This window comes from Homo sapiens, chromosome 9, assembly GCF_000001405.40.
Source record: "Homo sapiens chromosome 9, GRCh38.p14 Primary Assembly".
NCBI classification, from domain to species: domain Eukaryota; kingdom Metazoa; phylum Chordata; class Mammalia; order Primates; family Hominidae; genus Homo; species Homo sapiens.
This window is the reverse complement of record NC_000009.12, coordinates 136,987,221-137,005,955: the sequence shown is the minus strand read 5'-3', so window position 1 is coordinate 137,005,955 and position 18,735 is coordinate 136,987,221. Positions and strand designations below refer to the sequence as shown.

The 18,735-nt window shown below is 57.7% G+C and overlaps 2 protein-coding genes across 8 annotated transcripts, besides 5 other annotated features; one reads left to right on the top strand and one right to left on the bottom strand.

Moving 5' to 3' along the window:
• Positions 5,671-5,790: an enhancer, noted in NCBI's record as "active region_29337". NCBI's record gives its function as "activates an Ori minimal core promoter by ATAC-STARR-seq in GM12878 lymphoblastoid cells {active_cell/tissue: GM12878}" and the evidence as "EXISTENCE:reporter gene assay evidence [ECO:0000049][PMID:35858748]".
• CLIC3 (chloride intracellular channel 3) lies at positions 9,388-11,348 on the top strand. Its single transcript, NM_004669.3, has 6 exons — positions 9,388-9,445; positions 10,199-10,308; positions 10,389-10,514; positions 10,664-10,770; positions 10,851-11,026; positions 11,117-11,348. Exons 1-6 carry the CDS (start codon positions 9,413-9,415, stop codon positions 11,273-11,275), a joined length of 711 nt encoding a protein of 236 aa, NP_004660.2. The 5' UTR covers positions 9,388-9,412; the 3' UTR covers positions 11,276-11,348.
• A 631-nt stretch (positions 11,349-11,979) lies between these two features.
• PAXX (PAXX non-homologous end joining factor) lies at positions 11,980-13,534 on the bottom strand. 7 transcript variants are annotated; one of them, NR_138077.2, is made up of 7 exons: positions 13,394-13,534; positions 13,252-13,316; positions 12,982-13,031; positions 12,713-12,903; positions 12,545-12,613; positions 12,292-12,376; positions 11,980-12,190 (listed from the first exon to the last, which is right to left on the bottom strand). NR_138077.2 is itself a non-coding variant. In NM_183241.3 (7 exons), the coding sequence occupies exons 1-7, from the start codon at positions 13,510-13,512 to the stop codon at positions 12,151-12,153; spliced, it is 615 nt and encodes a 204-aa protein (NP_899064.1). In that variant the 5' UTR covers positions 13,513-13,534; the 3' UTR covers positions 11,980-12,150. The 7 variants fall into 7 exon arrangements, 2 of the variants coding, with proteins under 2 accessions (NP_899064.1, NP_001316607.1); NR_138074.2 differs by having other exon boundaries at positions 12,713-12,835; positions 13,256-13,316; NM_183241.3 differs by having other exon boundaries at positions 13,256-13,316.
• Positions 12,799-13,341: an enhancer, noted in NCBI's record as "H3K4me1 hESC enhancer chr9:139887067-139887609 (GRCh37/hg19 assembly coordinates)". NCBI's record gives its function as "activates a minimal SCP1, AML or CMV promoter by ChIP-STARR-seq in primed H9 embryonic stem cells {active_cell/tissue: H9 hESC(primed)}" and the evidence as "EXISTENCE:reporter gene assay evidence [ECO:0000049][PMID:30033119]".
• Positions 13,299-13,678: a silencer, noted in NCBI's record as "silent region_20565". NCBI's record gives its function as "represses an Ori minimal core promoter by ATAC-STARR-seq in GM12878 lymphoblastoid cells {active_cell/tissue: GM12878}" and the evidence as "EXISTENCE:reporter gene assay evidence [ECO:0000049][PMID:35858748]".
• Positions 13,689-13,978: a silencer, noted in NCBI's record as "silent region_20564". NCBI's record gives its function as "represses an Ori minimal core promoter by ATAC-STARR-seq in GM12878 lymphoblastoid cells {active_cell/tissue: GM12878}" and the evidence as "EXISTENCE:reporter gene assay evidence [ECO:0000049][PMID:35858748]".
• Positions 15,425-15,719: a silencer, noted in NCBI's record as "tiled region #3127; K562 Repressive non-DNase unmatched - State 23:Low". NCBI's record gives its function as "represses a minimal TATA promoter and a strong SV40 promoter by Sharpr-MPRA in K562 cells {active_cell/tissue: K562}" and the evidence as "EXISTENCE:reporter gene assay evidence [ECO:0000049][PMID:27701403]".

Here is an 18,735-nt window from a genome sequence, read left to right as displayed (position 1 = left end):
AAACTACAAAAATTAGCTGGGTGTGGTGGTGGGCGCCTGTATTCCCAGCTGCTCGGGAGGCTGAGGCAGAAGAATCACTTGAACCTGGCAGGTAGAGGCTGCAGTGAGCCAAGATCGTGCCATTGCACTCCAGCCTGGATGACAGAGTGAGACTCTGTCTCAAAACAACAGCAAAAAGAACATTTTAAACTTTCAGGAAAGTTGCGAGAATAGCAGAGCGCACGCCGCATCTTCAGCCGATGCGCCTGTGAAATCTTGCCACACGCACCGTCGCTCTACCCACTTTTGTGCTGCCCCATGTGAAAGCAAGCAGCTGTGACCTGCCAGCCCCGGCCCTGCAGCCTCCTTCCCCCAAGAGCCGCCAGGGTAGCCCAGAGTTAACAAAGGGTACAGCAAGGCTTTTCAGGGCCCCGGTGGCCCAGGCATGCCCTTTTTTATTTTTTATTATTATTTGTTTGAGGAGACGGAGTCTCACTCTCTTGCCCAGGCTGGAGTGGGGCACAATCTCGGCTCACTGCAAGCTCCGCCTCCCGGGTTCACACCATTCTCCTGCCTCAGCCTCCTGCGTAGCTAGGACTACAGGCGCGCATCACCATGCCCGGCTGATTTTTGTGTGTGTGTGTGTGTTTTTAGTAGAGATGAGGTTTCACCATGTTGGCCAGGCTGGTCTCTAACTCCTGACCTCAGGTGATTGCCCCAGCCTCAGCCTTCCAAAGTGCTGGGATGACAGGTGTGAACCACCGCGCCTGGCCAATTTTTGTATTTTTAGTAGAGATGGGGTTTCACCATGTTGGCCAGGTTGGTCTCGTGTAGGGACCAGCCCCACAGGGTCGGTGGGTCTCTCCCCATGTGCGGTGACGAGACAGTGTAGAAATAAAGACACAAGACAAAGAGATAAAAGACAGCTGGGCCCGGGGGACCACTAACACCAATGCGTGGAGACCAGTAGTGGCCCCGAATGTCTGGCTGCACTGTTATTTATTGGATACAAGGCAGAAGGGGCAGGATAAGGAGTGTGAGCCATCTCCAATGATAGGTAAGGTCACGTGGGTCACGTGTCCACTGGACGGGGGCCCTTCCCTGCCTGGCAGCCAAGGCAGAGAGAGAGAGAAGAGACAGAGAGAAAGACAGCTTATGCCATTATTTCTGCATATCAGGGACTATTAGTATTTTCACTAATTGACTACTGCTATCTAGAAGGCAGAGCCAGGTGTACAGGATGGAACATGAAGGCGGACTAGGAGCGTGACCACTGAAGCACAGCATCACAGGAGACGGTTAGGCCTCCGGATAACTGCGGGCAGGTCTGACTGATGTCAGGCCCTCCACAAGAGGTGGAGCAGAGTCTTCTCTAAACTCCCCCGGGGACAGGGAGACTCCCTTTCCTGGTCTGCTAAGTAGCGGGTGTTGTTCCTTGACACCTTTTGCTACCGCTGGACCACGGTCCGCCTGGCAACGGGCGTCTTCCCAGACGCTGGCGTCACCGCTAGACCAAGGAGCCCTCTGGTGGCCCTGTCCGGGCATAACAGAAGGCTCGCACTCTTGTCTTCCGGTCACACCTCACTATGTCCCCTCAGCTCCTATCTCTGTATGGCCTGGTTTTTCCTAGGCTATGATTATAGAGCGAGGATTATTATAATATTGGAATAAAAAGTAATTGCTACAAACTAATGATTAATGATATTCATATATAATCATATCTAAGTTCTATATCTGGTATAACTATTCTTGTTTTATATTTTATTATACTGGAACAGCTCATGTCCTCGGTCTCTTGCCTTGGTGCCTGGGTAGCTTGCCGCCCACAGTCTCGAACTCCTGACCTCAGGTGATCACCCAGCCTTGGCCTCTCAAAGTGTTGGGATTACAGATGTGTGCCACCATGCCCAGCCAATTTTTGTATTTTTAGTAGAGATGGGGTTTCACCATGTTGGCCAGGCTGGTCTTGAACTCCTGACCTCAGGTGATCGCCTAGCCTCGGCCTCTCAAAGTGTTGAGATTGCAGGCGTGAGCCACCGTGCCTGACCAATTTTTGTATTTTTAGTAGAGATGGGGGTTTCACCATGTTGGCCAGGCTGGTCTCGAACTCCCAACCTCAGGTGATCTCCCAGCCTCGGCCTCCCAAAGTGCTGGGATGACAGATGTGAGCCACTGCACCCGGCCCTAGGCATGCTCTTTAGAGTTTTTCCAAAAAACCAGGATCAGCCAGGTGCTGTGGCTCAAGCCTGTCATCCCAGCACTTTGAGAGGCTGAGGTAGGCAGGTCACCTGAAATCAGGAGTTCAGCTTGGCCAACATGGCGAAACCCCATCTCTACTAAATATACAAAATTAGCTGGGCATTGTAGCGCCTGTAATCCCAGCTACATGGGAGACTGAGGCAGGAGAATCACTAGAATCTGGGAGGCGGAGGTTGCAGTGAGCAGCGCTCCAGCCTGGGTGACAGAGTGAGACTCCGTCTCAAAAAAAAAAAAAAAAGAAAGAAAGAAAAGGCTGGGCATGGTTGCTCACACCTGTAATCCCAGCACTTTGAGAGGCCGAGGCGGGTGGATCACTTGAGGTTGGGAGTTCAAGACCAGGCTGACCAATATGGAGAAACCCTGTCTCTACTGAAAATACAAAATTAGCCGGGTGTGGTGGCACATGCCTGTAATCCCAGCTACTCGGGAGGCTGAGGCAGGAGAATCGCTTGAACCTGGGAGGTGGAGGTTGCGGTGAGCTGAGGTTGTGCCACTGCATTCCAGCCTCAGCGACAGAGTGAGACTCTGTCTCAAACAAACAAACAAAAAAAGGAAATAAAAATCCAGGATCCAACCACGAGGCACTCCTTGTGTCTTGCTGCCTTCCCCGGGGCCCCTCTGAGCCGTCCCCAGCCTTGGCGTTCTTGCCCTTCCAGGGGGACAGGCTCCGCAGGCCCAGGCTGAGCTCTGGATGTGTCTTCATTTCCTCCTGGCTGGATGCAGGTTGGACATTTTTGGCCGGAGCAGCACTGGGACACGCTGTGTCGGTCACCTCCAGGTGTCCATCTGTCCCTCAGCAGGTGATGCTGAATGTGGCCGCCTGGTTGAGGCCCAGTTCTCCCTCCCTTAGATGTGGGAACGCAATCTGGGTGCTGCGTGGCCGCGCCCCCCGACCCCCGTCACCCAGGGCCAGCAGCTGCAAAATGGCCATTTCCTGCCTCTATTCCATTTCTGCATCTACTGGCTGGCATTTCTCTCTCACCAAGGGCCCCTCCACTTTAAAAAGTCTATCAGTACAGACTTGCAGGTTTAAAAAAATTAATGTGTTAACATGCATTACTGTCATCTTTTAATTACTTATTTTGAGACAGGGTCTTGCTCTGTCACCCAGGCTGGAGTGTGGTGGTGCAATCATAGCTCACTGCAGCCTCCAACTCCTGGGCTCAAGTGATCCTCCTGCCTCAGCCTCCTTACAGGCATGTGCCACCACACACGACTAATTTTTATTTTTATTTTTGTATAGATAGGGTCTTGCTATATTGCCCAGGCTGGTCTTCAACTCCTGAGCTCAAGGGATTCTCCCACTTCAGCCTCCCAGAGTGTTGGGATTACAGGGGTGAGCCACTGCATCTGGCTCTTTTAAAATTTTTTGATGGTGGTAAAATCTATGTAACATTTATCACGTTAACCATTCATAACGCACAATCCACTGTTGTCTTATGCTCAGATGGCCTGAGGTCCAGCCAGCGGTGCCCCTCCAGCAGGCGCCCCTCCAGCACGGCTTCTGTGTCTTCGTAACCAGCTCCTGATGTGTTTTGAGTGCGTCCCTGCCTTCCCTGCCCCACACCTGGAATCAGCCTCTCTCCAAGGAGCCTGTCTCAGTCCGACCAGGACTGCTGTGCAAAGGACCCTGGACGGGTGGCATTCATGCCTCACAGCTCTGGAGGCTCGAAGTCCGAGGTCGGGACGCCAGCATGGCTGGGTTCTGGCGAGGGCTCTTCTGGGTTGTGGACTTCCCTTGACTCCTCACCTGGCAGGAGGAGCGAGGGAGCTCTCCGGGGTCCCTTTTATGAGGGCGCTGATTCTGGTCATCTCGAGGGTGTCACCTTCATGACCTACCCACCTCCAAAAGACCCCGCTTCTTTTTTTTTTTTTTTTTTTTGAGTCTCGATCTGTCACCAGGCTGGAGTGCAGTGGCGCAATCTTGGCTCACTGCAAGCTCCGCCTCCTGGGTTCATGCCATTCTCCTGCCTCAGCCTCCTGAGTAGCTGGGACTACAGGCGCCTGACACCACGCCCGGCTAATTTTTTGTATTTTTAGTAGAGATGGGGTTTCACCATGTTAGCCAGGATGGTCTCGATCTCCTGACCTTGTGATCCGCCTGCCTCGGCCTCCCAAGGTGCTGGGATTACAGGCTTGAGCCACCGCGCCCAGCCAACCCCACTTCTTAACACCATCACCTTGCAGGAGACAGGGTTTTGTTTTGTTTTTTTTTTTTTTTTTGAGACAGAGTCTCGCTTTGTCACCCAGGCTGGAGTGCAATGGAGTGATCTCGGCTCACCGGAAACTTTGCCTCCCAGGTTCAAGCGATTCTCCTGCCTTAGCCTCCCGAGTAGCTGGGATTACAGGCATGTGCCACCACGCCCGGCTAATTTTGCATTTTTAGTAGAGACAGGGTTTCCCCATTTTGGTCTGGCTGGTCTGGAACTCCCAACCTCAGGTGATCCACTCACCTCGGCCTCCCAAAGTGCTGGGATTACAGGCGTGAGCCATGTGCCTGGCCTAGGGGCCAGGGTTTCAACACACAAATTTTGGGGAGGACACATTCAGTCCCTAGCAGAACCCTGGTTCCTTTTAGGGAAGATGGGCTTTGGGACCAGAATCTGAGCTCTGGTCTGCACACTGCTCCCGAGGTCTCGCTGCCCCCGAGGTCCCGCCGCCCCCGAGGTCCCGCCGCCCCCGAGGTCTCGCCGCCCCCGAGGTCACGCCGCCCCCGATGTCTCGCCGCCCCCGAGGTCTCACCGCTCCCGAGGTCTCACTGCTTCTAGGCTCTCTCCATGCACAGAGCAGATAAATCTCTGCACAAGTTTGCACCAATACCCCAATGCCCCCAGCCCTCCGGCCCCCCAAACAGGTGTGTGTCTCCCTTCAGAACAGAGCTGCTCAAATGTCACTGGGGTGTGGCCCTGTGCAGGCGGAGGCAGGAGGATCACTGGAGCCCAGGAGGTGGAGGCTGCAGTGAGCTATGACTGCGCCATTGCACTCCAGCCTGGGTGACAGAGTGAAACCCTGTCTCAAAAAAAAAAAAAAAAAAAAAAAAAAAGAGCCCCTTGGAAGGGGCCTACAGGGAGGGGTGTTGGGGAGGGAGAGAGTTCTAACCCACCAGTCAGTCAGTCCCAGAGCAGCAGCCTCGGGACCTCAGCTTGGGCCCCTCTAACGCTGGCTCTATGAATCAGGAGCAGGGGCTGCAGGGGACGGGAGGTTTAGGGATAACCCCGTGGCCTCGGGGACCAGGGTCTAGTTAAGGTTAGTGGCTGTGATACTGTTCTTACTTCAAAACATTATGAAATTGTGGTAGAAAATGTGGTATTACAAAAATGTGGTAGAAAATGCAAACAGTGTGGACAGACAGGAAGCAAAACTGAAAGCCTGTTTCTGCCTGTCAGGGGTCATCCCACAGACAGCTCCTTGCGTCTTTTTTCAGCTCTGTTCAAGTAGAGACTCAGAATGACAGATCCTAATGCTGATTTTCTTCCATTTCCTGGCTTCTCCCTGCTTTACTTATTAGCTTGCTGGCGCTGCCATGCAAAGGACCACAAAGTGAGGGGTTTAAAACAACAGAAACTGACTTTGGGAGGCCGAGGTGGGCGGATCACTTGAGGTCAGGAGTTTGAGACCAGCCTGACCAACATGGTGAAACCCCGTCTCTACTAAAAATACAAAAATTAGCCAGGCGTGGTGGTGGGCGCCTGTAATCCCAGCTACTCGGGAGGCTGGGGCAGGAGAATCGCTTCAGCCGGTGAGGCGCGGGTTGCAATGAGCCGAGATTGAGCCATTGCACTCCAGCCTGGGTGACAGTGAGACTCCATCTTAAAACAACAACACCGCGGGGCGCGGGAGCTCACGCCTGTAATCCCAGCACTTTGGGAGGCCGAGGCGAGCGGATCACGAGGTCAGGAGATCGAGACCATCCTGGCTAACGCAGTGAAACCCCGTCTCTACTAAAAATACAAAAATTAGCCAGGTGTGGTAGCGGGCGCCTGTAGTCCCAGCTACTTGGGAGGCTGAGACAGGAGAATGGCGTGAACCTGGGGAGGCAGAACTTGCAGTGAGCCGAGATTGTGCCACTGCACTCCAGCCTGGGCGACAGAGCAAGACTGCATCTCATTAAAAAAAAAAAACAAAAAAAACAGAAGCTCACTGCCTAGCAGTCTGGAGGTCAGACATAGCACCTAGGCTTGGGCAGGGCTGCTTCCTCCCAAGGGCCTTGGAGAGCATCCGCTTGGCTCCCAGGCTTACAGATGTGCCACCCTGATTTCTGCCTGCGGCCCTCCCTGTGCATCTGTGTCCAAACTCGCCTTTCTATACTGACATCAGTCATATTGGATCAGGGCACATCCTACTCACCACATTTTAACTTGATAACTTCTATAAAGACCCTATTTCAGCCGGGTGCGGTGGCTCACACCTGTATTCCCAGCATTTTGGGAGGCCAAGGTGGGTAGATCTTCTGAGGTCAGGAGTTCGAGACCAGCCTGATCAACATGGTGAAACCCTGTCTCTACTACAAATACAAGGAAAAAAAAAAAAAGCTCAGCGTGGTGACGTGTACCTGTAATCCCAGCTACTCCAGAGGCTGAGAAAGTAGAATTGCTTGAACCCAGGAGGCAGAAGTTGCAGTGAGCCGAGATTGCACCACTGCATTCCAGCCTGGGCAACAGAGCAAGACTCTGTCTCAAAAAAAATGTTAAAAAGCCCCTGTTTCCACATAAGGTCACATTCTTTATTTTTTTTCCAAGATGGAGTCTTGCTCTGTTGCCCAGGCTGGAATGCAGTGGCACTATCTCTGCTCACTGCAACTCTGTCTCCCGGGTTCAAGCACTTCTCCTGCCTCAGCTTCCCGAGTAGCTGGGATTACAGGTGCCTGCCACTATGCCTGGCTAATTTTTGTATTTTTAGTAGAGACGGGGTTTCACCATGTTGGTCAGGCTGGTCTCAAACTCCTGACCTCAGGTGATCCACCCCCCTCGGCCTCCCAGACTGCTGGGATTACAGGCATGAGTCACCGTGCCCGGCCCATATAAGGTCACATTCTGAGGCACTAGGGGTTAGGACTCCAGCCTAAGAATTTAAATTTAAGGGGACACAAGCCACGCCATTTACCTAATCTCAGGCCCTCCCTGCAGTGGGCATGCATGGAGTCACCTTTTCCGTCCTTCTCCCTGGACACAACTGGAGTCTCCCATAGACAGGGTGGTGGCCGTGCCACGGAGCCACGCCACGCCACGCCACGCCACGCAGTGGGGCAGCCAGCACTCACTTGCCCTTCACAGGGAAACCGGCCGGGTGTGGCAGCTCGCGCCTGTAGTTCCAGCACTGTGGGAGACCAAGGCAGGTGGGTCACTTGAGCCCATGAGGTGGAGACCAGCCTGGGCAACATGGCAGGACCCTGTTTCTAGTAAATAAATGAATTGATTAAACCATAAAAAAAAAAGGAAGCCACCGGGCTGATTCCCAGGTGGCGAGGGCACAGGGGGGTGTTGGATGGCCACTGCCGCTCCACAGTCCACAGCCCACGCCCACAGAACGCAGTGGGGCCGCTGCAGCGGTGAACCGAGTCTTGTTGGTTTGTTTCTTGAGACGGGCGTGAGGTGAATGGTCTTCCTGTGTCTTGTTTTCTTTTTCCTTCTGAGCCACCGGTTCACGGCCTCTGTCCGTGCCGTCATTTTTCCTGTGGGTTTGTGAGGGTGCGTCTGTCGGTGTTAAAGACACAGGATGCCGGGGCAGCAGAGGGGGCTGGGGGCCTGGGGCTTCTCTGTGGTTGGCCATTTGCCTGCCAGGGATGTGGGAAACCAGCAAGCGGAGCTATAACCACAGTGTCCAGAAAGAGCTGAAATACTAGGGCTTGGAATCGAGGTGGAGGCCGGATGGAGGGAAATTGAGGTTCAGGACACCAAAGGATGGGGCAGCCACATGGTATTTCCAAGGCTCTGTGTCCAGGAGCCCCGACTGGCGTGGTATCCAGAGAAGCATCAGGCTGGGCTGACTGGGGCAGCACTGGAGTGTGTTCCACCGGGGACGGATGAGGGGCCCGTACCAAGGCCCTGGGGAGAAGGTGAGCAGGAGAGCAGTGCCACCTCAGCTGCCCTGTCCAGGCTGGTGAGGCACCACACCGCCTGGGGGAGGTGTGGCCAGGCCAATCCTGTGGGCACCCCAGGTCTCTGGGTGGAATCTCCCCTCGGTGTACCTCCCTGGGGCTGCACCCTAAAGCGTCAGGGCCAGGTGGGAGGAAGGCACAGTTGGCGACCCCAAAGGGCCAGACTGAACTGTGGGTTCCAATCACGCCAGGAGGCTCAGCGCAGGCTCACACCTGTGGACCACCACCCTCCCCTGGCCTCTTTCTTCCAGCCACGCAGGCTGTGGCTTCTAACCCCTCTCCTGCTGCTTCTTTTTAAAGGTTAAGGGGTTGGGGGTAAGAAACCTGCGCTGAGCGCCAGTGGGAGGGATGGGAGGTGGGGTGGAGACCTGCACTGCCGGCCAAACACCAAAGCCAGGCTGGCCTCCCCGCCCTGTTGCGGGCAGGTCTGGAATTTGAGCCCTGCCCTGAGCGGGGAGGGCCCTGCCTGACTGCTCCGTAGCTGGGAAGGGGCGGCTCCCCCAGGTGGGCTTATCACCCTCCCGATGCCCTGGTGCTGCAGATGGGGAACTGAAGCCAGGCTGGGCAGGCCATTTCTCCTGCTCACCCACACCCACTGGCTTTCTGGGCTGGGAGCCCTGACAAGGGGTATTTGCGGAAGGGAGAGCCATAGGGCAGGGTCTGAGCTGGGTTCACGGTGGAGGTGGTCCTGACCCAGAGCCGCCCCCTTCCCAGGTGACACCCCCTGCACCCTTCTGGCCTGTAGGCTCTCCCTATGCCCTGCCCCCTGGTCTCCACCCACCACGCTGGCTCCCAGCACACTCAGTACCGGGTGGGCGGATCTCCGTGCACACCAGACTCAAGTCCAGGGCAGCCCCCCACACCATTCCGCCACCCTGAGGTCACACCCTCAGGCTCAGACACCCCGGGGCCGGGCTGGCGTTGCTCAGGCAGCTGGTTCTGCGCGCTGGGCAGCTTCATCTGCCCGCCTAGGTGGCTCCACGGGGCGGGCCCCTCGGCCAGGGAGGGCGGGGCGCACAGGGAGACTTAAAGAGCTCCCCAGGTCCCCACCCGCGCCTGACCGCGGCAGCTCCCACCATGGCGGAGACCAAGCTCCAGCTGTTTGTCAAGGTGCAGGGCGGACTCAGCTGCGGGGAGGGTGTCTGGGAGGAAGCGCTTTTCTGGGCTTTGCTTTCTGTGGCAGGCTGTGGGGTGGGCCTCCCAGTAATGTCTGAGCCCCTTCCTGTGGGTGGCTAGGGGGACTCAGGCAGCCCTACAGAGGCTGAGTAAAGTGGGACCCAGCGAGTCACCCAGAGAGGGGTCAGTGGCCCTGGTCCTGCTCCCAGCCTTGGCTCCTGGGCCCAGCCCAGTCTTCTGGAGGAGAGCTCCTTGGTGGGGAGGTACCAAGCAGGCTGCCAACAGTGGAGCTTACGGTCGGTGTTCCAGGATGGGGGGTGCTGGGCCAGGCAGCCCCATCAGCTCTCAGGTCGGGGACTGGGGTGGGGGACTGATGTGCTGTTGGCCACAGTGCCCAGTCTCATGTGTGAATCACTCAGAAAACAGCTTGTGAGGCCCACCCCACCCCTGCAACCAGCTTTTGGGGACTGAGCCCAGGGGCCTGGCCTCTGTCCAGGCTCTGACAAGATTCCAGGGGCCAAGCCTGCCCCAGGCCTCAAGGCTCCCAGCAGCTCTGCCCCCCTCCCCACGTTCTGGGGACCAAGTCAAGGGCCCTCACTGGGCACTTGGAAGTCGCGCCGACCAAGCTGGAGCCCTGGCGTCCCTCCAATCCCACTGGCAGTGGGAGGCGGGTCCCGCCCAGCCTGGCGGCAGGATGCCTGGGTCTGCTTCCAGCCCTGACCCCCCACCCCCGCTCCACCCACCCAGGCGAGTGAGGACGGGGAGAGCGTGGGTCACTGCCCCTCCTGCCAGCGGCTCTTCATGGTCCTGCTCCTCAAGGGCGTACCTTTCACCCTCACCACGGTGGACACGCGCAGGTGAGGCCCCATCCTGTGGACCCCCGCCTGGCCTCGCACACTGGTGGGCCGGCCTCCTCCCACCCCGCTGCTGCCCGCAGGTCCCCGGACGTGCTGAAGGACTTCGCCCCCGGCTCGCAGCTGCCCATCCTGCTCTATGACAGCGACGCCAAGACAGACACGCTGCAGATCGAGGACTTTCTGGAGGAGACGCTGGGGCCGCCCGAGTGAGAGCCCCGGCAGGGTGGGAGGGGAAAAGAGGGGGGCCCAGGGAGGACGCGCGCAAGACAGAGCCCAGGAAGGCGCTGTGGGGGTACTGTGGGGCCGGGACGGGGCTGCCCCCAGTCTAATGGAGTCCCACCCCCTCATCCCGCAGCTTCCCCAGCCTGGCGCCTCGTTACAGGGAGTCCAACACCGCCGGCAACGACGTTTTCCACAAGTTCTCCGCGTTCATCAAGAACCCGGTGCCCGCGCAGGACGAAGGTGAAGCGGGGTCAGGGGGTCGGGTGCCCAGGCGGGAGGGCGCCCTGGGCCTGGTCCTCACCGCGCCGCCTGCCCCCTAGCCCTGTACCAGCAGCTGCTGCGCGCCCTCGCCAGGCTGGACAGCTACCTGCGCGCGCCCCTGGAGCACGAGCTGGCGGGGGAGCCGCAGCTGCGCGAGTCCCGCCGCCGCTTCCTGGACGGCGACAGGCTCACGCTGGCCGACTGCAGCCTCCTGCCCAAGCTGCACATCGTCGACGTGAGCACGGAAGGTGGGCGGGCGGGAGGGTGACCGCGGCGCGCCTGGGGGACGGCAGGTCCTGACCGCGCCCCGCGATCCTGCCCGCAGACGGTGTGCGCGCACTTCCGCCAGGCGCCCATCCCCGCGGAGCTGCGCGGCGTACGCCGCTACCTGGACAGCGCGATGCAGGAGAAAGAGTTCAAATACACGTGTCCGCACAGCGCCGAGATCCTGGCGGCCTACCGGCCCGCCGTGCACCCCCGCTAGCGCCCCACCCCGCGTCTGTCGCCCAATAAAGGCATCTTTGTCGGGAGTGAGGGTGTCCTGACATCTGAAGGGCCAGAGGTCTCGGGATCACTTCCCATCCCCAAACCCCAGGGTGGGACGCTCAGCCCGATAGCCCAGAACCACAGGGGCAGGAGCGCCGGGGGTCGGGCCGGTCCCATCCTCCACGCTAAGAAGGCGCAGACTCCAGGCCTCCTGCAACCGGTGGCCTCAGGGATCTCCAGGACCGGACTGGGCTCCCAAACCAGTCAGGCCGGGGTGGGGCGGGGTGCCCCAGGTGGATGGGGGCTGGCACATTCCTCAATCCTGTCCCGGGGCAGGCGCTCCCCTCCCCGCAGGGCACTTCCAGTGTCTCAGGGTCTACACGGGACTTCTGTCTGCATCCTCCCACGGGGCTCCGTGCCCTACCTGGGTGCGGCCTGGGAGGGTGGGAACAAAGTTCTAAGCCTTGGGGAGCCCTGGCCCTGCCTGGCTGGGCCCCTCTCAGCTCCTGGGCTGGCAGGGCTGGAATAGCTGGACGGTCTGAGAGTGCTCACCTCCCTCCGGCCCAGCAAGGAAGTCTCCAGGGAGCTGAGAGGCTGCAGCATCTGTTCACATCCTGTGGCCCTACACCCAGAACACAGGCCCAGGGGTGTTCCCTGATCCCTTCCCAGGCCAGTGCCAGGAGTCAGAGCCCCACCAGAGCCTCCAACCAAGGGAGCTGTTTATTTGACAGGGAAGGAATTTGAGGAGCCGTGTTAGTCCTGGCCCAGGACAGGCAGGTGGAGGTGGTGGCGGGGGGTCTCTGATGGGGGCCTCAAAGACTGCCTCTCCCCTCATAGGCGGACTCCCCGCGGGGCCACGCTTGTGCTGCACCTTCAGGTCTCATCGAAGTCCACGCCACCAGCTGGTTTCTTACTGGGAGGGAAGAGGGGTGTCACTATGGCACTATGGTGTGGAGAAAGGGGTGGGGTCCAGGATTGGACCCTGGGCGCAGGAAGGGGGCTGTGGGAGGGTACCTCTTGAACCCGGGGTTGATGAGCGACTCTCCTGGACACCGCCTCCTGACTCCAGGTCCAGGGCCACCTCTCTGGGGATCTGGGTCTGGGGGAAAACAGGACAGGGGCAGCTCCTGAACCTGGCAGCATCCCAACCACAACCTTCTCCGAATAGATAGGCATTCTCTCTGGAGCGTGAGTCTTGTTTGGGGGGAAACTGAGTTCCAGGTTAAAGAGCACAGCCCTACTTGAGTCACAGGCGGACATGCCTTACCTGGTAAGAAGAGCTGAGGCCCTGCAGGCCGGGGGCTCTTCCTCGGGCTGACAGCTGTCTCTTCTGCAGCTGGGGAGGAAAGCCCATGGGAACCCCACTCAGTGCCAGGAGTGGGGGCAAGAGCAGGGGACCCCAGTGAAGGTATGAGGTGCCCACCCCCAATCCTACCTGCCAGTCGCCGCTCCAGGCTCCACACGCGTTTTGCCAGGCCCAGTGTCAGCGCCCGCAGCCTGGGGGCTGCCTCTGGGCCTGGTACCTTGGAGAGGTCAAAGGCCAGTGCCGAGGGCCCCCCTGAAAGCGTCAGGGATGCTCTGTCCTCCTGCAGAGTCAGAGCCACAGCTTGCTGCTCACAGGCTGCCCTGGGAGAGGAGAGGTGCGGAGAGCTGTGGCAGACCCTCCTCCTCCCCACCCGTCCTTCCTCCCTGCTTGGGTCTCACCTGAACCGGGGGGTGATGTCCTCAGCCGCACTCAGGCCAAAACGGGCTTTCTAGAGAGCACAGGGGCTTGTCACGAGCTGCCTGGAACCCGAGGCCCACTGGGGGCACCCGAAACCTGCCCGACCCCAGAGCCCTAGCCAATGGGAGGACTACAGCTACAGGGCGGGCAGAGGGTGTCAGAGCCTTCTGGGGAATCCCAGATGTCTGTCGCCCCATAGACGATCTGCACTGCAAGGAGGGGTGTGGCGGCTCCCAGACCCGCCCAGTTACCCACGAGGGCCGCCAGGCTGTCCGGCGTGAAGCAGGTGCTCCAAAGCTCCGCGGCGTCGGTCACGCTGGGGGAGAAGGCCTGTCAGGCGGGGCCGCCCGCGGAGCTCCCTGCACCCCTACCTCCCCGCGGACCCCCACTCACTAGAGGTTGAAGCCGCCGCGGTCCCCCTCCCCGCTTTCCTCCCCTTCGCAGTAGCACACGAAGCGGGGCGGCTCGGGGCCCGGCGGCAGCGTGCAGAGCGGCGGCGACAGCGGATCCATGGCGCCGGGCGAGCGGGAACCCGGCGGGGCGGGGCTTGGGCGCCGGGAGGGGCGGGGCTGTGCGGGCTCAGGGCTCCTGCGCGGAAGAACGACTTCCGGAGCCGGGTGCAGGCCAGTCGCGGGCTTAGGGAGCTTGCGCGGGGCGGAGTCTGGTTGGGGGCGGGGTCTGTGTGTGGAGGCGGGGTTAGGGGCGGGGTTATGAGGGTGGGGGGATTCGGGGCGGGGCTAAAGGCACAGGCCGGGCCGCGCGGACCCGGTACCCGCGCGGGCTTCAGGCGACTAGAGGCCGAGTTTAGTGCGCGGGGCGGGCCGGAGCAGGGCGTCCTGGGTCAGGGATCCAGAGGCCCTGCCCCCAGCGCTGGCCTCGCCGGTCGTGGGCTCCACGGCGCGATCCCGGGCTCTGGCCCTCGCGCCCGCGAGCAGCCCCACTCGAACCTCGCCCCCTCCCGCCCCCGCCCCGGCTCCAAGTCCAGCCGAGTCCAGGTTCCCTCCGTGGCTCTGCGGATACATCCTGGAGCCCCGCCCTTCCATCGTCTTCACACACAAACCGGAAGCTTCCTAACTCTAATCGTAAGAAGTTACGGTTGGTCCGGCAAGGTGACTCACGCCTGTAATCCCAGCACTTTGGGAGGCCGAGGCGGGCAGATTGCCTGAGGTCAGGAGTTCGAGACCAGTCTGGCCAACATGGTGAAACCCCGTCTCTACTAAAAATACAAAAAAATTAGCCAGGTGTGGTGGCGCACGCCTGTGAGGCAGGGGAATTGCTTGAACCAGGGAGGTGGAGGTTGCAGTGAGCCGAGATCGCGCCACTGCATTCCAGCCTGGGCAACAGAGCGAGACTCTGTCTCAAACAAACAAAAAAAGAAGTCACAGTACAGAGCGATCTCCAGGGAAGAAGGCTTCTGCGCTCTCTGTCCCGCGCATGGTATTCCTCCAGCTCCTCCTACGTGCCTGTTGTCCTAGGCCTGGATATCGATCAACAGACAAGGTCTCTGACTCCCTGGAGCTTCTAGGATCCAATAGGAGAGACACCACACTCTCAGGCAGGGCCAAGCGCCAGGAGAAACTGCAGCGGGTGCTATGAGGGCAGGAGGAAGAGGATGGCTCCCACCAGGGACAGGGAGATCCCAGGCGGAGGCCTGGCCACATAAATAATGGTTCTGTTCAAGGCTCGGCAAGAAGGCCAGGTTGGCAGCATGGTGCTGTGGGGAGGGCCAGTGGGTCTGTAAGCTACGCTTCCATATCGGAGTGCTCCCACAGCAAGCCTGCCTCACCTCCTCCTGCTTCCCAGTTCACTCCCAGTCCTGGCTCCTGCCCCCTGGGCCTCTGCACATGCTGCTGTTTCTGCCTGGCACATCCTTTCCCCAGACTCACATGCTTCCTTCAGGTCTTTACTCAAAAGTCACTTTAGTGAGACCTTCCCTGGTGTTGTTCTGACATTGCAGCATGCTGCCCAGCTCTCACATCCCTCTCTCCTGTCATTTCCCTATTTTTCACACTTCTCACTGTAGAAAGTACACTTTGGCTTGCTTTATTCTGGCAGCTAGCTCCCTGTTATACCCTCCTGGGTTTAGACTTTTCTGCACTCCCCTCCCCTTGGGCTGGACTTTATTAATGACTTGCTTCTGGCAACTAGAATAGGACAAAATTGCTCTTGAATTGCTGGGTGTGACATGAGGCAGCCCTAAGGGGATGACCATGGCCAGCAAGGGAACCGGGAAGCTGACGCCCCAGCTGAGCCTTCCCATGAGACCACATCATCGGCCGGCAGCTTGACCACAGCCTCCTGAAACTTTGTGTCAAAGGCCCAGAGTCCTGCCTGGCTGACACTGGGAGATAATGCATGCCTGCTGGTTAAGCAGCTGCATTTGGGGTAACCTGTCACTCTGCAGTAAGTGACCACCAATACACTTATTTACCCTGCTTATTGTCCATCACCCCAGGAGGTCCATGAGGGCAGGGATTTCTGTCTGTTTTACCTGCCAGTGTATCCGTCTCTTCAGCGCTTACACAATGGCTGGCACATACAGACACTGAATAAACATTGTGAATGAATGAATGGGGGGTGGTGGCTGTTGGAGGTTTAAGCAGGGGTGGATGGGAAGTGGCACGTCTGACTTATGTGTGTGAAGTCCGTATTCTGTGCTGTGAGGAGAGAGGACGGGGGCTGCAGAGGAGAGGGGTGGACCATGGGCTCGGACTGGAGGTGGAGGGAGGAGGAGACAAAGAACAATCAAGGATGGCCCTGGCATTTGGGAAGAGTGGAAAGGGGAGATTCATCCCCAAGATGACTGGGGTGGGGCAGATTTGGAGAGGACTGGGGGGCCTCTTCTTTGTCATGTGAACTCTGAGATGCTGGCTGTAGCAGGCCCCAGATATCAGGCCCTAATCCCTGGGACCTGTGAATGCTATTGTCTATGGAAGATGCTGGGCACTGCATTCCAGCCTGGGCAACAGAGTGAGATCCTGTCTCCCCTTCCCCCCAAAAAAAGGAAAGAAAAGAAAGGAGTGTTTGCAGATATTCCCTTGAGATGGGGTGATTATCCTGGATTGCCCAGGGAGGCCCTCAGTGCCATCTCAAGGGCCTTTTAAAAGTGAGGCAGAGGAAGCTTTGAGACAGAAAAGAAGGCAGCATGGCATGGAGGGAGGAACTGGAGCGATGCAGCCCACAAGCCAAGGATTACAGGCTGCTATCAGAAGCCAGTGTTGTGACCAAGCGAGTTATACAGAAACGCCACACTTTGAGACAAATTAAAGAGTCCGTTATTAGCCGCGACTGAGAGGCAGCTAACGCTCAAAATTCTCTCGGCCCCGAGGAAGGGGCTAGTTTTGTTTTTATACCGTGGTCTAAATAGGGGAGGGGGGATTTTAGCTGAAGCAATTTTTACGGAAGCAGAACTGGCAAAAAGTTAAAAAAATTAATTGGTTACAAATGCAGTTACAAAAAATAAACAGTTCCAGGTGCAGAGGCTTAAACTATCACAAAGAGATAAATGCAGGGGTTTTGGGTGCCATCCACCACGCGTGTCCCCAGGAGCTGCTGGTGCAGCTTGCCTCAATGTCTTATCAGTAGGTGCATTCCTGGACGTGCTTTGAGTCAGTTTACACTAGCTATGCCTTCAGGGAGGAAGGTGAAAGGGGGCCGCAGGTGAAGAAACTAAAATGGAGTGTGTCCGGCTCTCTCTCTGCCAGGAGAGGGTCACTCAGGTGGAAACAAGGTAGGGTATCCCACCAGAAGAGGCCAGGCCCAGTGGCTCATGCCTGCAATCCCAGTGCTTTGGGAGTTCAGAGTGGGAGGACTGCTTGAGGCCAGGAGTTCAAGGCCAGCCTGAGCAAGACAGCAAGACCCATCTCTAAAAAGAAAACATTAGCCAGGCATAGCGATGCATGCCTGTAGTCCCAGCTACTTAGGAGGCTGAGGCAGGAGGACTGCTTGAGCCCAGGAGTTCAAGGCTTCAGTGATCTGATCGCGCCATAGTACTCTGGCCTGGACATCAGAGCAAGACTCTGTCTCAACAACAACAAAAAAAGAAGACAAAGAAGCTAGAAGAGGCAAGGAAGGTTTCTCCCCTAGAGCCCTCGGAGGGAGCACAGCCCGGCTGATACCTCGACCCTATTAAACTGATTTTGAACTCTGGCTTCAAGCTACAAGTTTGTGATAATTTGTGGCAGCTGTAGGAACTGACACAAGACCAGAAACAAAGATTAGTTCCAAAACATGACGAGAAAACTGCAAAACCTTCATTTAACTAGCCTCAGGCTGGGTCCGTGTGGACCTCAGGTGTTTATTTTACACTTTGGCTCACACCCTGGTGTCATGTTCTGTTTCGTGGCTCACATCGGGCCAGCTTCATCTACTGGCAGCAGCTTTTCCACTGGCTTCCACCACGTCCTTCTCTGAGATACTTTTTTATACTTTTTTTTTTTTTTTTTTTTTGAGACGGAGTTTCGCTCTGTCGCCCAGGCTGGAGTGCAGTGGTGCGATCTCGGCTCACCGCAACCTCTGCCTTCCAGGTTCAAGCGATTCTCCTGCCTCAGCCTCCCGAGTAGCTGGGACTACAGATGCCCACCACCACACCTGGCTAATTTTTGTATTTTTTAGTAGAGACAGGGTTTCTCCATGTTGGTCAGGCTGGTCTCGAACTCCCGACCTCCTACCTCAGGTGATCCGCCTGCCTCGGCCTCTCAAAGCTCTGAGATTACAGGCATGAGCCACTGCACCCAGCCATGGGAGCAATTTTCTTTAATGTAGGATACATTAATACAGTGTATGAGATATAAGGTTAGTGGAGCTTTGCAAGCAGAAGGAGAGGGATTACAAAGTCCCCACGCACACACTTGAAGTCGGTGATGGAGGCAGAACAGGGGAGGGAAAGGGCTGACCTTTCCCAAGGCATAGAGCACCTGGAAGCTGGGCCAAAAAGAGGAGCAAAAGGTCCGGAGAACGAGCTCTAGGGGAGTGGGGGCCAGTCAAGTTTTGGGGTAGCAGAGGTCAACAACCAAGGGAGGTATTTGAGCAAGACTTCAGAGACGGGAGTGAGTGCACTGAGTGGCACTGGGAGAAGGGCAGTCCAGGCAGGGGTGACCTGGGCAAAGGCCCTGAGACACGTGAGGGGCTGGCAGCAGGACGGAGGGAGGGGAGTGGATGGTGGGTCAAAGGAAAGCCTAAAAGAGAAGACCTTGTTGGCCACCATCAAGACTTAGGCCTGAGGCCGGGCATGGCGGTTCACGGCTGTAATCCCAGCACTTTGGGAGGCCGAGGTGGGTGGATCACCTGAGGTCAGAAGTTCAAGACCAACCTGGTCAACATGGTGAAACCCCGTCTCTACTAAATATACAAAAATTAGCTGGGCGTGGTGGCGGGCACCTATAATCCCAGCTACTCAGGAGGCTGAGGCAGGAGAATCGCTTGAACCCGGGAGGCAGAGGTTGCAGTGAGCCAAGATCGCGCCACTGCACTCCAGCCTGAGCAACAAGAGCGAAACTTCGTTCCAAAAAAAAAGACTTAGGCCTTTACTCTCAGTGCAATGGGACCCACTGTGGGGTGCTGAGCAGGGGGGCCTGATCTGACACATCTTGTGAATCCATCCCCTGGGCTTCTAGGTGGAGAAAGGGCTGAGCGTGGGAGGTGAGGGACTCGATGCGTCTGCAAGGGATTGGGGGCTGACCACAGCTGGACCCACAGCCACCCCCAGAGGCTGCCCCACCCTGGAAGGAAGGAAA